General features: G+C 42.0%; 1 protein-coding gene and 1 long non-coding RNA gene across 5 annotated transcripts in view, besides 2 other annotated features; one reads left to right on the forward strand and one right to left on the reverse strand.

The window, feature by feature from the left end:
- Positions 1–580, reverse strand: part of RAB4A-AS1 (RAB4A antisense RNA 1) — a 14,263-nt gene extending 13,683 nt beyond the window's left edge. For both annotated transcript variants that reach the window (NR_149313.1, NR_149312.1), the window contains exon 1: positions 402–580. This is a non-coding gene — a long non-coding RNA (RAB4A antisense RNA 1). The remainder of the gene's footprint in view (positions 1–401) is intronic.
- Positions 349–878: a silencer, noted in NCBI's record as "silent region_1925". NCBI's record gives its function as "represses an Ori minimal core promoter by ATAC-STARR-seq in GM12878 lymphoblastoid cells {active_cell/tissue: GM12878}" and the evidence as "EXISTENCE:reporter gene assay evidence [ECO:0000049][PMID:35858748]".
- Positions 537–17,734, forward strand: part of RAB4A (RAB4A, member RAS oncogene family) — a 34,784-nt gene continuing 17,586 nt past the window's right edge. For 2 of the 3 annotated variants that reach the window (NR_073545.2, NM_004578.4), the window contains exons 1-2: positions 537–796; positions 15,912–15,992. Coding sequence is in view for 1 of the 3 variants with exons in the window: in NM_004578.4 (NP_004569.2) it covers positions 766–796; positions 15,912–15,992 (112 nt within the window). In the remaining 2 variants the exon portion in view is untranslated. The remainder of the gene's footprint in view (positions 797–15,911; positions 15,993–17,734) is intronic. The other variant, NM_001271998.2, reaches the window with a different exon arrangement.
- Positions 919–1,078: a silencer, noted in NCBI's record as "silent region_1926". NCBI's record gives its function as "represses an Ori minimal core promoter by ATAC-STARR-seq in GM12878 lymphoblastoid cells {active_cell/tissue: GM12878}" and the evidence as "EXISTENCE:reporter gene assay evidence [ECO:0000049][PMID:35858748]".

Raw genomic sequence — 17,734 nt, forward strand, 5'->3', positions numbered from 1 at the left:
AGGGCCCGGCAGTTTGGAGTGAAAGCTTAGCTTCCCAACGGGTAAATGAACCTGCCTCCCATTCACAGGGCGGCCTCTGGCTGGACACCTGGGGCCTACTGCCTCCTTGTTACACATTAACCAAGTTCTGGCCTCCATCGTAACAGCGTCAGGGAAGTTTTTTCCTGGCTGACAGCCGCAGATGATGACCGAAGACAACGTCTTAACTGAGACGGGCCAATTTGGCAAATGGACTGCTTTCCTCCCCAGTGCGGGCACCTTCCTCCTCTGTCCGGCAACTGGACCCCACTGTCCCCAGCCCTCTGTCACCCCCAAACCTGCCCACCGCCCGCCTCTACCCGACCCTCCCTCAGGGAAATCGGGACTCAGCCCCCAACGCCCCCACCTGCCGCTCTGCCCACCTCAGCGCACACCGCCAGAGCGCCCAGCCCGCGCACGTGCTTCCGGCGCGCGCCGAAGTCCTCACGCGCCCCGCCCCGGCCTCCCCGTGCGCACGCGCGAACGCGGGGTGGGCCGGGCCTCGCGTAGCCCATCTCCTCTTCCTCCTCGCGGTCGCGGCCGGACGGAGGGTGGAGGGCCCTGCGCCTGCGCGGAGCTGGAGTCCGGCTGGGCCGCAGCCGCTGGGAGACCGGCGGTTGCCGTGGGGACCGGTCGGGCCCCTCCCTCCTCCGGTCCCCCGCCCCAGGTCCTTCCCCACCGAGACGCGCCGGCGGACCGCGGGCGAGTGCAGCCGGTGACCCGGCGAGAGGCGGCGCCGCTCCCAAGATGTCGCAGACGGCCATGTCCGAAACCTACGGTACGAGGCCCGGGCTGGCGGGGCGCGCGGGTCGGGCCGCGGGGGGCGTCGGTGGCGCGGGGCCGGGCCTGGGCTGCGGGGGTCTTGAGGGTGGCGGTGGCGCCGGCCGGAGCCGGGGGACGGATCTCGGAGGTGTCTGGGCTTGGGACCGGGATGGGGGACGCGGGCCGCTGGGGGCTCGGGTGGGGTAGCGGGTGCGCGGGGCGCGGGGGCGCTGTGCACAGCGCATTGGCGTGATCCGCCTTTTCAAGTTTCCTCTTGCTCTTTCTCTGCTCTTGCACTCTTAGCGCTTTTCCCCTCTCAGTCTAATGTAAATAACTGAAGGTTTGAAAAGCCAGCTTGATGTTCGGTTTCAGCTGCGATATTATCCCCAGCGAGCCTGTGAAGGGCTTAGGGCGACGCCTGTGTTCCTCAAATACTTCAGTTTGACCTTTCCTGGTTTGGAATTCCTTGCTTTACATTGGGATTACAGTGAGGAGTTATTAATAGGCTAATTCATTCATCTCTTCCTCCGGAGACCTCTTGCTTCGTTTATTTCTCCCTCCCTCTCAGTGTTTTTTAGCCTTTTCTGGGTTGCATTTTGGCTATTTATAAACATGTCTTGTCTCCTTCTTAAGACCGTAAGCACCTTGGAAGCAAAGCCCTGGCTGTTTAATCTTTGTTTCCCCTGCAGCACCCAGACCTGGAGGTGCTTGACAAATACTGTTTTGAATAAGCGAAAGCTTTCCCAGTGCATATGCTGTGTGCTTTTTTTTTTTTCTCCCCTTTTTTGGCCTTGCGTGGTAAGAATAAACAACTTGTACTTTGTATCAGAGTTGAATATTAATAGATGTTTACCAGTCCCTAATCACTCTTTCAGATGTATGTATTCTCAGATTAAGACTTTGATTTGGAGTTTTACAGTCCCAGAGAGAGGCTCAAGTTCAAAATTACATACCTCAAGCCAAATTAGTCCTGTCTCCATCTGTCCTGGCATGCTGCTTCCTTCTCTGCAACAAATACTGTGGAATGGCATTAGGGAAGCGAGCACCGTGCTGGGAGGGCTGTACATCCTGCAGAAACACAGCAGACACGGCTCTGGTCTCATGGAGCGTAGTCTATTGAGGGAATGCAGTATTAATCCAATTGTGATACTAATGAGTGAATAATTAAAAACCAGGCAAGAGTTCTGAAGGAGTGTGGTCCGTGAAAGTGTGTTAGAAAGAAAGATGACCCAGACAGGGGTGTCAGGGAGGCATTAACCAGGCAGCACGCAGAACATCTCAGGCCTGTGGGAAGGGTAACTCAAGAAGGGTGTGTTTTGAGTACCACGCTGGAGAGGTGGATGAGGAGGCAGAGAGGAGAGGGTCTTGAGGAAGGCGTCAGTTTGTCTTGTAAGAAAAAATGGGAACTTTTGGAAGGGCTTCCATGCTGGGGTCACAGTGCATTTGGTCCACCTTCAGTGAGTGACTCCTGTGACTGGTACTGCCCTGTTCTTGGTGACAAAGGGGCATGACATCTGTTCCTAGAAGGCGTAGGAAATCCTCCAGTAAGTCGATGCCTTCATCAGGACAAGTGTTTGCAAATGTTTCTGCAAATGGCAGTGGTCTGGTTCTTCCTGTAGAGAACCACAGTCAGAAATGTTGTAAGGAAAACATGGTCTTTAGCAATTTTTGGTTACATCTTTGCACTTCTTTATTTTCAAGTGCTCTTTAGCCCAGGCTTAGTTTCTTTAACCTGAGTAAGGAGCACGGAGCACTAGGGGAAGGGTGGAATGTCCAAATAAGAAAAGCAAGTGGGGGTCATGAATCAGTAAGAAAGGATTGGAAGAGTTCAGGAGATAGAGCTTTTATGTTTCATTTTTCGTATACGCATGATAACAACTGATAAAATAGAGCTTATCTTTGGCATCTCCACTTCAGACACAGTTAACTGAACTTTTGAGCTTCACAGATTGATTACATTCTGATCATAAGGCTTTGACCATTAGTATTCTTATTTCATGGTAACTTCCAAGTATGTTTTTACTTTGCAACTCTGAATTGAATCTTTTCTTCTAATAGAGGAAATTAATCGAAAACTAGTAGAAACTAATAAATAGAAAATGAGGCCAGAGGTGATGGCTCACGCCTGTAATCCCAGCACTTTGGAAGGCCGAGTTGGGCGGATCACTTGAGCTCAGGAGTTCAATACCAGCCTGGCCAACATGGCGAAACCCCAGCCCTATTAAAAATACAAAAAATTACCTGGGCATGGTGGTACGCTTGTAGTCCCGGCTACTTGGGAGGCTGAGGCATGAGAATTGCTTGAACCCAGGAGGTGAAGTTTACAGTGAGCCAAGATTGTGCCACTGCACTCCATCCTGGGCAACAGAGTGAGACTCTGTCTCAAAAAAAGAAAATGAGTTTTAGAAGGAGCAAGCAGGACAGTTGAAGTTTGCCAAGCTGAAGTAAAAGTCACCTAGAACCAAGTCCTAGGCTGTCACTTTGACGTATCAGTGGCCATATTTATACAGCATTGTTCCTTAAAAGTGAAACAGTCAGGCTCTCTTCTGGACATTTGCCTCTGAGCTGGTGAAGGAATGTTTGCCTAACCTTTAAACTCCTTTGTACTCTGTGCTTATTTGCTCTTCTGTAAAAGGAGGCTCTGTGTAGCTTGACAGAGAGATGAGGAATGAAATGTACTGGGTTTTTGTTTCCCTTTTTTTTTTTTTTTTTTTTTGAGACAGGACCTCGCTCTGTCACCCATGCTGGAGTGCAGTGACACAATCACGGCTCACTGCCACCTCCATCTCCCCATCTCAAGTGATCCTCCCACTTCAGCCTCCTGAGTAGCTGGGACCACAGGTGCATGCCACCACACCTGGCTAATTTTTTTTTTTTTTTTAATTTTTTTTGTAGAGACGAGGTCTCTGTCTGTTGCTCAGTCTCATCCCGAACTCCTGGGCTCAAGTGATCCTCGTGCCTCCACCTCCCAAAATGTTGAGATCACAGGCATGAGCCACTGTGCCCTGCTGAAATGTACTGTTTATGAGCTACCTCTCATTAATGTGTTCATTTAATATGCTTTTTAACATATTAAAACAGTATTTCACCTTCCATAGACTGAGTAGTGTTGAACATTTTTGTTGCTTTGAAGTCACCACATGAATACTGTACTTTATGTAATATCGTGAAACAAATTGAAATCTTAGGTTTTGGATGAAACCCTTAGTCTGAATATGAAACAGTTCTACCAAATGCCATTAGATACACTACATTCTTAAAGCCCTGGCCAGTTAGTATGGCTTGGGACTTCCCAAGGAACTCTGCTTCAGCCATCTGAGACCTGGGAGATTACAAATTGGCTGAAAGTAATTTTGATGCTAAGCAGCGATGTTCAGAAAGGAGCTGAAAAGTATATGTAGTGGGAAAATGCCAGGAATTTCTTTTGAAATTAAGTGCTGGGGCAGTTCGAGAGTGAGGAAAAATCTAATACAAAATCTCTACATATATTAGAGTTTATGCCGTCTACAATGGGAATAACAAATGAAACAGAAGAATACAATTCAAATTGCTGGTTCTATGCTCATTTTTATTAAAATATACTCTTAATGTTTTTATTTTGTGCTTCATTTTGAAAACAGCACAGTATTACAGTATTTGCCATATAATTTTGAGAATTATCAGAATATTTTCCTTAAAAATGTATCATTTTAGGCTGTTCAGGTTGAATTGTGTTCCCCAAAATATCTGTTTAAGTCCTAACCCCTAGTACCTGTGAATGTGACCGCATTTGGAAATAAGGTCTTTGCAGATGTAATCAAGTTAAGATGAGGTCATCGTACTGAATTATGGTGAGCCCTAATTCAGTGACTGGTGTCATTATAAGATGAGGGAAACTTAGACACAAATGCATTCAGAGAGAAAGAGATGTGAGGATGGAGGCCAAGATTGGAGGGATGCATCTACCAGCCAAGGAGTGCCAAGGGGTGGCTGGCAACCACCAGAAGCTAGAGAGAGGCAAGGAGGGATCCTTCCCTTGAGCCTTCAGAGAGACCTTGACCCTGTCAGCACTCTGAATTTGAATGCCCGGCCTCCAGAACTGTGAGACAATAAACTTCTGTTGTTTTAAGCTTCCCAGTTTGTGGTTCTTTGTGATGGCAGCCCTAAGAAACTAAAATATAGGCTTTGCTCATCAAAATACGATTCATGAGAAATTTAGGATGACAAGGCAAGATGAAGTGAAGAAGATATCCTTGGTAAAGGAAATAGCATTTCTTTTCCTTTTTTTTTTTTTTTTTTTTCTTTGAGATAGAGTCTCTCACTGTTGCCCAGGCTGGAGTGCAGTGGCACAATCTCGGCTCACTGCAACCTCCACCTCCCGGGTTCAAGCGATTCTCCTGCCTCAGCCTCCCAAGTAACTGGGACTACAGGCGCCCGCCACCACACCTAGCTAATTTTTTTTTTGTATTTTTAGTAGAGGCGGGGTTTCACTATGTTGGTCAGGCTGGCCTCCAAACTCCTGACCTCATGATCCCGCCCTTCTCAGCCTCCCAGAGTGCTGGGTTTACAGGCGTGAGCCACCGTGCCCGTGTATAAATAGCATTTCAAAGTCACCTGGTTCCAATAAAGTATGAAATAACTTGCTCTTAGGGAAATCACCCCAATTGCCCTTTACCTTAATTTCATGAAAGATGGAACAGGTAAACATGTCAACAAAGGAATCCTGTAACACCAAAACAAAGGACATTTCTTCAAGTTGAATAAATATATGATTATACATGTTTGTCATTTTCTTTTTCTCATTCACTGAAAGCTGGTGAACATTTCAAGTACCAAAGTTTGGGAAACATTGCACCAGTGGCTTATCAAACTAATGTGCACACGAGTCCCCTGGTGTATTAAAATGTAGATCCTGACTTGGAGGGTGAGGGAGATCGGCATCTGACCAGCTCCCGGGCCGTGCAGGTGCTGTTGGTCCAGGGAGGCATGTAATGACTCCATGCTCGAGAACTTTGAAAGCATGGTTTTTTGAAAAAACAAAATATTCTTTCTCATGGTCATTTGAACTGTAAAGTATTCCAATCCATGCCTGTGACTTTACTGCTGATGCTCTGATGACTGTAACATCTATATTTCTAGTCACATCCTTCACTCAAACTACAGATCTTTTTTTCAGCTACCTAACTACACCTGGGTGGCCTACAGGCATCTGAATGCAGTACGTCCCAAACCCAACAAATTATTCACGCCTATGCCCCATCTTCTATTTTTCCTGTGTTTGCCTAGAAGATAAAGTTAGAGTCCATTTTTAATTCTTCCCCATCCTTACCTCCTGGATCTATTGGGTTTCAGAGTCTTTTGAGCTGACTTCTTAACATGGTTTAAGTTACTGTTTACCCTGAAAGATGCAAAGGAAAGTTAAATTAGGGCCAGTTTACATGATTAAAAGGTAAGCAAATTGGGTTTCATTCCAAAGTTCTTCGTCGTAGTGACTTGAGCAGCTGTGCTGACTATCTTACAGCTTGCCACACAGCATCTGCACCACTGTCCCTAGGCAGCTTCCACAGCACCTGGAACCTGGGTTCATGAGGATACAAGAGCCTCCTGGGCCAGGATGGGAGTAGTTTTCCACTTTAGAAGAACTATATATCTATATATAATATAGATATATATAATATATATAGTTTATATATAAATTATTTACAATTTATATATAATTATTTATAATTTATATATAATTATTTATATTTATATAAATTATTATTATATCAGTGGAAAGTAACAAAGAGTTGGCCTGCTAAGTAACTGCCTTCCTCAAATCAGCCTCCTCAGTGTGTGTGATCCCAACGAATGGGTCAGGAAAATCAAAGACCCAATCACGAACCTGGAGCAATTGTTGGGAGTCTGTGCTGCAAATGTTAAATTTACAAGCGTCAGGATTCCGCTGTGCCGACAACGTTTAATTCAGGCTTAGGTAAACCGCGGCTCCTACAGGCACACTGCAGAGTCCCATGATTAGCTTTTGCTGCCTGTTCCACCTCCTTTACTTCTTATTCTTCCCGCTCCTCTACAGGTCGTGTGCTCTTCTGCTGCCCAAACCTTCCACCTCTCCTAACCAGCATTTCATCAAGGTTCCCACTGTTCAATTCCTCCCTGACCATTGTACCAAAACTTTTTGTCCTTTAAAGTACATGTCATCTTATATTCTGTCCTCTGCCAGCTCCTCGTTGCTGTTATCTGATGACCCTGGGGATAGTCCTTTTTCAACAAGGTCATCTATCATATGGTCTTGCTCTTTGCTCTAACTCCTGACTGATCCTAGGTCACTGCATTGTCCTTGCAGAGGTCAATCAACAACTCCGCTCCACAGTTCCTTGACTTTAGTCAAGATGAAGTCAGGTCTCTTCTACCACCTCTTCAGGTACTCACTTCCCTGACTGCTCCCTGGACTTTGTCACCTATCCCATTCTGACCACTCCAACTCCATCCAGTCTTCACTGTAAGAGCTTCAGGCTGCTGGTCCATCTCCTCCCTTTCTTCTTTTTTTCTGAGACAGAGTCTCACTCTGTTGCCCAGTCTGGAGTGCAGTGGCATTATCTCAGCTCACTGCAACCTCCACCTCCTAGGTTCAAGTGATTCTCGTGCCTCAGCCTCCTGAGTCGCTGGGATTACAAGTGTGCGCCACCACGCCTGGCTCATTTTTGTATTTTTAGTAGAGACGGGGTTTCACCATGTTGGCCAGGCTGGTCTCGATCTCCTAACCTCAAGTGATCCACCCACCTTGGCCTCCCAAAATGCTGGGATTACAGGCATGATCCACCATGCCTGGCCCCTTTCTTCTTTTCAGGCAATGAGCTGCTCTCTCTTCAGATAAGACTCATGGCTTTTCCTTCCACCTCGTCCTTCTTTTTCTTTCAACTACACACACTTTGCACAGCTCCAGCCCTGGCTACCCAGCCATCTGCCTTGCCTGCTGTGCAGACAGAGCTCCTTTTAGATTGAGATCATTGCAGATGTATGGTCTCTGCTTCCAGCTGGGTACTCAGTAATACTTAGCAATCATTTTTCTTATCCTGGCCACCTCTCTCTCCACATCAGCTATTTTAAACCTTCACACATCTCCTCAAGCCCATTCTCTCACTCCTAGTAGATGACCACCAGTAGATGTAAGGAAAAGATGCCATGTCTGCAAACTTGCTTACCTCATCCTTAACCCTTTCCATGTTGTCTCAGAAGGTCTCTGTTGTTTAAAACTAACCCCAGCCTTCTACTTTGGACCCCATCTCTAAAGCTTCAAGTCCCCACTTCACCCATCATGTCTGTTCCCCTCCTTTTCCCTTTCCACTGGTAGCTTCCTGACTTTGCGCCTTCCTCCTTTAACCACCTCTGTCTCTCCTTTCCCTCACAGCTAAACTGCTTATAAGAGCTGTCAGTACTTTTTGTCAACAGTTTTACTTCCTTCATTCTTCAACTGACTGTAATTAGGATTTTGCCCCCACCTGAAATGATGTTGGTTTCACCAGAGATGCTGATGATCAGTCAGTGGACACTTGGCAGCCTTTATCTTACTTAGCTTCTCTTTTCATATTCGGCCCTTATAAGAACTGCTTCCCCAAATCTCCACTGTGTTGGCTTACAGGTATTTTCAACTTAATCTCTGAATTGGCAACTTATTATTTTACCTTAAAGCCTATTCCTTCTCAGAACCTTCAGCATCTCTTATCTCAGTTTTCGTAATCACAGACCCTAAGCCTTTAATTCCTAAAGAAGGAAACCTTCTTTAAATGACTCCATTCTACCCAAATTCTAGTGCTATACCACAGCACTTAGCCTTTTCTGCCAGGAAGTAGGACACATGAAATGCATCATACAGTCAGAGGCCATACATCCGTGCTTCCTTTCTGACATTTGGAAATCTTGAAAGCAAGACGATTGCTTGGGGAAAAAACTAGGAAGGCAGAGGTCATCGTGTCTGCTGAATATGGCTTAATTTTCTTGAACACTCAAGGTCATCATTGACTATTGACTGCTGCACAGAATGTGCTGTGCTATTACGGCCACTTTCTAGCTCATCCCCTGCTGTCCCCATCTGCCTTTGTGCCTGTAGTTCACAGTCCTACTTTAGTATATACCTTTGATCTACTGCAGTTTGGGGCATTAGGTAATAGAGGCTGCTTGAAGTGAATGTAAAACAAGTCAGTCAATTCCAAATGAGGTGTCTCCTGTAGAGTTAATCTTTTTTGGCTTTATGTTTGCTATTTCAGTGGCTAGGAGACCTTTTTTTCCTGGTCTTTATTTTGTCTGTGTTCCTGAATGGCTGACATTTGCTCAAGATTGAATTCTAATTATTTGATACCTTTCCTATTATCTCATTTGACTTTTCTCATACGGAAAGTTAAAAGTACATTAGTAGGATGTATCTGTTTTAGATTTTCTGTTTTGGGGTGTGGTCTTTCCCTTCAATCTTAATTCATTCTGGAGAAAACCCTTATCAGGTGAATATAATTATAAACTGAGTGAGAAAAATTTATTGTGAATTTGAGCCCTCAAGTTAACGTTCACTATAATAAACACCGAATCTAATTTAAGTGGGCACAATTATTTAACCAGTTGACACTTAGTTATATAACCTACATAGGCATTTTGCCTTCATTAATTACTCTGTAATATGGCTATTCACCTGTTCCTGTTAAGCCTTTCTGTAGTTGTTAAGCACTATACACTTAACATATAAAACATACACATGGTATGCTATATATATGTCATCCACTGTTAAGCAAGGAAAAAGAAAAAACCACAGATTAAAAATACAAAATAAACCCATAAAACTAGTACAGATTCTGCCATATTCTGATATGGAGTCATGATGAGTGAGATCATCATTGCTGCAAACCAGCAAACATTGAACACTCTGAGAGAACATGATGCATTCCTGCCAGAATGATTTCTGTGAGATCCAGGTAATTCAGCACTAACTGAAACTCCTCATGAAGTTGGATTCTCATCATCTACCAAGGAATAATTCATTATCTCCTTATAGTTTTATCTGCGTTATCTAAATACATGTATCACCACACAGAAAAAGAATTGATGGACAGCTCAGCTGCTTATCTGCTGCTCCTTCCTTGTGGTATTGTTTCCTTCTTGAATCCTTTGCTAGTTCTTCCAGTTTGGGGACTGTGCATAGTAAACGTACAGAGTCATTGTCTGATAATATCACGTATTTTTTTTTCCGTTAAGCTTTCTATTTTGAGATCATTGCAGATTCATATAGTTTTAAGAAAAAATACGGAGTTCTCATGCACCTTTTTCCTAGTTTTCTCCAATGGGAAAAACTTACAAAACTGTTGCAGAATATCACAACTAGGATATTGATGTTGACACAGATACAGGACACTTCCGTCACCACAAGATCTCTCCTGTTGCCCTTTTATAGGCACAGACTTCCTTCCTATCACCACATTTTCCTTAGCCTTTGGCAACCACTATTCTCCATTTCTATGATTTTGTCATTTTAAGAATATTATATAAATGGAATCTTGCAGTTGCAATTTTTTCGGATTGACTTTTTCACTCAGTATAATTCTCTGGAGATACATTCCAGGTTATTGCATGTATTGACAGTTTAATCCTTGTTATTTCCGAGTAGCATTTCTTGTTATGAGTGTACCAAAGATTGTCTAACAATTTACCTGTTAAAGAACATCTGGGTTGTTTCCAATTTTGGGCTATACCAATACAACTGCCATAAACATTCATATACAGGGTTTTATATGACTCAAAGTCTTCATTTCTCCGAGATGAATGTCTAGGAGTGCAGTTTCTGAGTCATATGGTAGTTAAATGTTTAGTTTTATAAGAAACTGCCAACCATACTGTTAACATTTTACTTAATGTTAAAATCTCGAGCTGTAATGGTGAGTTTGTCTGTTTGGCCTTTTAATTCTGTTAGTTTTTGCTTGACATATTTTACAGCTGTTTGGCATATACACGTTCAAGATACCTATATCTTATTGGTGGGTTTACCCTTATGTATTAATAGTTATGTAATGACCCTTTCTGTCTCTGGTTATTTTCTTTGTTCTGAAGTCTATTTTATCTGATATTAATACAGCCAGCCCTGTTTTTCTTTGATTAATGTTTGTATGATACATCCTTTTCCATTCTTTCAGCAGTCCATATCATTATAACTGAAGTGAGTTTCTTGTAGACGGTGTATGATTAGGTCATGCTTTTTAAGTCAGTCTTCCAATCTTTGTCATTTAATTGATGTATTTATTCCATTTACATTATTGTAATTATTGATATTGTATGACTCAGGTTTGCCATTTTATTTCTCAGTTTTCTTTTCCAGCCTGCCTTGACTGGCCATTTTAAAGAATTCTGTTTGATTTACCAAGAGTGCTGTGGAATGTATCTCTGCTCATAGCTTTTTCAGTGGTCACTCTGTGTATTACTTCATATATACATAACTTATCATAGTTATATATATATATATATATATATATATATATCATAGTTTACTGTTGTCATCTTTTTATCCTGTCTTGTTTTAATTGTCTTAAATATTTCCTTTACATATTTTAGAATCATATAGATAATACTATTTTTCTTAAACAGTTAAACATAATGAAGAAAACTCAAGATAAGAAGGAAAGCCTATTGTATTTGCCCATGTTTTTGCTTTCCATGTTCTTTCTTCCACTCAGATGTTCCAAGATTCCTTCCTTTATCATTTTCTTCCTGTTTAGAGAAATTCCTATAGCTATTCTTTTGCAGGCAGATGTCCTGGTGATAAATTCTGTTAATTTTTTTTTAAATCAGAGAATGTCTTCATTTACCCTTTATTCCAGAAAAATAGTTTCACAGGACATAGGGCTCTGGGTTGAAAGGTTTTCTTTCTTTGAGCACTTGAAAAATACAGTCACTCTCTTATGGCCTCCCTGGCTTCAGATGAGAAATCTGCTGTTATTCGAATTGTATTTCCCTTGTAGATATGGTATCATTTTTCTCTGGCTACCTTTAAGACTTTTTATTTGTCTTCAGTTTTCAGAAGTTTAATTATGATGTATCTTGTCATGGACTTCTTTGAGTTTATCCTGTTTGAGTTCATTCAGCTTTTCAAATCTGTAGATTTATGTCTCTCACCAAATTTAAGTTTTCAGTGCTGTTTCTTAGAGTGCTTTTTTCAACCACTTTCTCTTTGTCCTCTCCTTCCAGGACTCCAGTGACATGAATGTTAGATCTTTTTCATTGTCTGCAGGTCCTTGAGGCTCTGTTTATTTATTTCAACCTTTTATTCTTTGTTGTTCAGATTGGATACTTTATCATTTTGTCATCTAGTTCACTGATTCTTTCCTGTCACTTCCATTCTGCTGTCAAGCCCATCCACTGAACTTTTATTTTGGTAGTTTTATTTTTCAGTTTTAAAATTTCTATTTGGTTCTTCTGTGTATCTTCTAGTTCTTTGCTGAGACTTCTAGTTCTTTGCTGATGATTTCTAATTTTTTCATTTGTTTCAAGCATGCTTGTGTTACTTGTTGGATATGATGACTGCTTTAAAATCTTTGTCAGATAATTCTAACATTTGTCATCTTGACATAGGAATATGTCTGTTACCTTTTTTCGTTCAGTTTGAGGTCTTCCTGGTTCTTGGTATGATGAGGAGTTTTCAACTGAAACGTGGATATTTTTATATTATGTTATAGGACCTTAGATCTTTATTTAAATCTTTTAATTGTTTTCCTCTCTTGGACACTACCTTATCACTGCCATCATGTCTAGATTCTGGAATCTAGAAGTTCAGATTCCCCACTTGCTTCCATTGACACATGAGAGGAATTCATCTTGTTACTGCTGCTGGGTAAGGATTAGAATGTTCTCGTCCCTCTTTCCCTGGTGACCTCCACTGACACTGTGCCAGGGGCACACAAGAGCTCATTACACAGCCAGCAGAGATGAAAGCCCTAGCTCCCTACTTGGTCTTCTCTGACACCATCTTTGTGGGGATATTGATATGCCCGGTTGTAGCCTTGCAAGGGTGGAAGTTTAGGCTCCCCATTCGGCCTTTGCTGGCATGGGTACAGGTTGGACCATAGTTTTTGCTGTGGTGCTTGGCTAGAATAGAGTCATTATTGTGTAAGAGTTTTCCTCTCTCTTGCTTGGCTGCCCCTTTTTTGGTCCCATGGCTACAGAGAGCAGGCTTTTGCTAGGACTTTTTTTGTCTGCATCCATTGGCATTTCTGGGTTGCCAGCTTGTTCTGCTCCAAGCCTAGGATACAAGAGGCAAAAAGAACCCAGGGAACTTCCTTCCAAATCATTCCTTGGGCCCTGAAATCCCGGGTACACTGAAATCTCTGGTACACTGGCCTTCTTTTGCTCCACTCTTTCAGAGTCTTTTTTTTTTTTTTGAGACGGAGTTTCATTCTTGCTGCCCAGGCTGGAATGCAGTGGCACAATCTTGCTTCACTGCAACCTCTGCCTCCCAGGTTCAAGCAATTCTCCTGCCTCAGCCTCCCAAGTAGCTGGGATTACAGGTGCTCACTACCACGCCTGGCTAATTTTTTTATTATTATTATTTTTAATAGAGACATGGTTTCATCATGTTGGCCAAGCTGGTCTCAAACTCCTGACCTCAAGATGATCCACCTACCTTGGCCTCCCAAAGTGCAGGAATTACAGGCATGAGCCACTGCGCCCGGCCTCAGAGTCTTTGATATTTCTTTTCTAGGGTGGTTTTTTTTGTTGTTGGTGTTGTTTGGTTTTTTTTTTTTTTTTTTTTTTTTGGACTGAGTTTTGTTCTGTCGCCCAGGCTGGAGTGCAGTGGTGCAATCTTGGCCCATTGCAACCTCCACCTCCCAGGTTCCAGCAATTCTCCTGCCTCAGCCTCCTGAGTAGCTGGGATTACAGGCACCCACCACCACGCCTGGCTCATTGTTGTATTTTTAGTAGAGACGGGGGTTTCGCTGTTGGCCGGGCTGGTCTCGAACTCCTGACTGAGGTGATCCATCCGCCTCAGTCTCCCAAAGTGCTGGGATTTACAGGCATGAGCCACCACACCCATCCTTTTCTAGGGTTTTTAGTTGTTCTTAGTGAGAAAAATAGGAAAAAGTTCTTCTACTCCATTGTCTTGGAAGTGGAAGTCCACCTGGGCTTTAAGGGTAATTTTTTTGCACATCAAATGCAACAATGATGGGTTGTTGTTGCCCCTCTTCTCAGCCCTGTGAAGATAGTACCCCGTTGCTTTCGGACCTTTGGAATCAAGACACCTAGTTTCTTTACAAGCCTTCTTTCCTTTCTTTCTTATTGCTTTTACAGTCTTCATGTGTATTCTGCAGTTTCACAATTATGTATTTATGTGTAGATTTATCCTTATTTATTCTTCTCATGGTTCAGAGTTATTTTTTATTTGAACAATCCTTTAATTTTAATTCTATAAAATTCTCAGCCATTATTTATTTTAACATGGGCTCTCTACCCTCATTCTCTTATTTTTTTAATTTCAAAATTCCTGTTAGATCCATGTTAGATCGTTTCCTTCAATCCTCCATGTCTCTTGAGTTCTTTTATATGTTCTGTCCTCAGCTCTCAGTACTGCCTACTGGTAATCTCCAGGTTTTATTCTGATTCACTAATTCTCTCCTCAGTTTTGTCCATTTTACTCTTTAACCTATCCATTGAATAATTAGTTTACAGACAGAGTGCTCTGTCACCCAAGCTGGGGTGTGGTGGCACGATTCTAACTCACTGCAGCCTTGAACCCCTGGACTCAGGTGATACACCCTCCTCAGTGTCGCAAGTGGCTGGGACTACAGGTGTGTGCCACCATACCCGGCTAAGTTTTTATTTTTATTTTTTTTAGGAACAGAATTTTCATATGTTGCCCAGGCTGGTCTTGAACTCCTGGGCTCAAACAATCCTCCCTCCTTAACCTCCCAAAGTGCTCATATTACAGTTGTGAGCCAACGCGCTCAGCCTGGAACTTTTTAATGCTAACAAAATTCTAATAGCATTATTTTTAGTTTGATTGCCTGTAACCATGTGAATATTATGAGAGGTTGAATAGGCTTCATCTCTCAGTGGTGATTAACATAGTTCTTAAGAAACGTGACAGAGCTAGGCCAAGCATCAGTAAAGGAACACACTCTTGGAGCTTAATTGAGGAGGGAGTGCTTGATCTGATCTGGAAAAGAGTGTGGAGGTGACACTTTCAAAGCTACAAACAGGGGAGCCAGGAATACAGAGCAGAGCCTTTGAGGCCACAGAAGGAGTCAGGCAGCAGTGGGGATTAGCAGTGGTGGGTCAGGAGCAAGGGTAAGGAGTGGACTTAGCAGCTGAGTCAAACGGGGAGGAGGGAGTTGGTGTTCTGGTACTCCCGAGCTCCTAAGCTCCTAAGCTATGCAGAATTACAGTTCTTTGGTAACAGAAAAAACAAAGTGAATTAACATGGGTAATATGAAGTTACTGATACTACATCATGCTAATTAAAAATTTCCATTTGGAAATCCTTTATTTCCATTTTATAAAAAATAATATCCCAAATTAAATATATTACTATGTGTAAAGAAGAAGTTATTCAGTTTGTCATTGAATCAGACAAATTTCGCACTTGAAGTGCTGACCTAAACTTGGCTTATGCCGTTATACAAATTACAGATGAGGGAAAAGAAGCAAGACCACGTAAATCTGCAAGTGCAGACAAAACTTATTTTTTTCCTTTTCCCTTTTCCCCTGCTTTTTAAGAAGAAGAAAGAGGTAGACTCTTCAAAGTCTACCAGGTTTATTCTTTTGTACAGAAAACACTTGAAATTTTCTAAACTAACTTTGCTGCCAACTGAATATGCATATTTCTTTGAATAGTGGCTAGCAAAGGGACAAGTTTTATTCATTCCAAGAGTAGTTTTCAGACTTTAACCTTGCAAAGTAATTATTCAAAGAGCACAGTTTGGAAAACCACTGAATTAACATGTCAGCCAAATATCTTAAATGTGAAAAGGTAAGTCAACATATGTATTGTCATTTCACAAGATACTCAGTTACCTCTTTTTCCTGTTATATTAACAACTAAGATACTAAATTTGATGATCGTGATCTAAGAAGAAATTCACAGCACTATTTTGAAGTTATTTTCACAGTCTCTTTTTATCTTTCAGATTTTTTGTTTAAGTTCTTGGTTATTGGAAATGCAGGAACTGGCAAATCTTGCTTACTTCATCAGTTTATTGAAAAAAAATGTAAGTGTCATGAAATTAGTCATTCTTCCGTGCATGTCTTCTGAGAGCCCTCTCACTCAGATTTGTTTACAGTAAACTTAATTTTTTCAGAGGAAAAAAGTAATAGTTTGAAAGTATTTTGAAGGGTTATGTTATTGAACTTTGGGTGATGTGATTTTTTATTAAGTTAGCATTTCTATTTAACAATGGTTCAGTATATGGTTACTTCTACTGTACATTTTGCAGATGCTGAGAGACCATATAGTGATGTTGAAGATAGCAGAGGGGTTCTGTGGCAGGAATCCTGTTTCCTGACAGAGCAGCCAGAGAAGCTCTAGGCATACATTTTGGATAAAATAACAACATTTGGTCCTCATAGTGGGCTTGTGTTGTAGTTAAGGCAGTTGCTGTCATCAATTCTGTTTTATAGGCCAGAAACAGACCTCTTGACCACACAGCCCATCTTTTACCATTGACTTTCACTGTTTTGGTAAAGGAGGTTGAATTTTTTATTTCAAACTATGTGAGACCTTGGAAGGCTGTAGAAGACTGTAGGTTTGAAAGGCCCTTAAAACAAAAAATGCTTTTTAATAATGGAAAGAATCGTGGAGAAAGACCTGTCTAGTTAGTGGCAGGTGGGTGAAGGGTCAAAAACAGAGTGTCTTATTTAATTAAGTTTATCTTAAGAAAGTATATGTGAGGCATGGTAGGTGGTGGGTAAAAAGGAGAAAGAACCAGTTTGGGGTGTTTTGGCAGAAAGCTTTGAAGAATAATAAAATCCTAGAAATTTACTCTGCTTCTTCCATTTTCATCACCCAAGAGCTTGTTGGAGCCTGTTTGTTTAGTGACATGGACCCAGTGTGGCTTAGTCACAGAACTGGTCCTTACTGAATTTAACAAGTATTCATTCACTGGATAGTTTATTTACAAGTTGCCAAGACTTTGTGTGGTACAGTCTTAGAAAAGAATACCCAGAGGGTACTGGGCCAAGTACCCAGCTTATGTAATCATTCTGTCCTCCTCAGAGAACTCCCCTGCATGGTCCTCTCTGCAACTCCTCACAACAGTAATGAACGGAAGGTCTCTCTTTGTAACCAGGATGCCCCTGGCCTTTAGTTACTATTTTTTTTAAGGATCTTACCCTGCATTTTTCCTGGTAGTTTACTCCTAATGGAATTTCCATACTAGTTCTATACTGTCTGGGCATGAAACAGACTAGCATAGTCACTGTAACCATTTATCTACCCTCTGCCCTGTAAATAATAAATCCAGTTGCCAGTGGCATCCCTGATCTCTGAAACAATTAAATTTTGTTCTGCAGTTACAAAATATAAACTAGCCAATGGACTGTATAGCTGCGATATTCAATTTCAGCTTATCTGTTTATCATCACAGAAATGTTCTTTCATAGGCAGTGTATTCCCGCTGGGTTTAGCAAAATACTTATTTTGCCTGTCTCCTGCCCATTCAAATAGTACTAATTTCTCCAACAAATTCATCCCAAATCATTTCCATAGAACACTACGATTAATGAAATCTCAAACACCTGTAGCTTGCATAGGGTTTTGTTTTGGGGTTTATTGGAGGGTGTATTGTTTTGGGGTTTGTTGGAGGGTGTTTTATTTTGGGGTTTTTTGGAGGGTGCTTTGTTTTGGGGTTTTTTGGAGGGTGTTTTTTCTTTGGTTCAATTTTTTTCCTCCTTTTCCCTTTTCCTCTGCTTTTCCTTCCACTCACTGTTATTTCTTTAAAATATTTAACCATTC

Source organism: Homo sapiens, chromosome 1 (genome assembly GCF_000001405.40).
Source record: "Homo sapiens chromosome 1, GRCh38.p14 Primary Assembly".
NCBI lineage: Eukaryota > Metazoa > Chordata > Mammalia > Primates > Hominidae > Homo > Homo sapiens.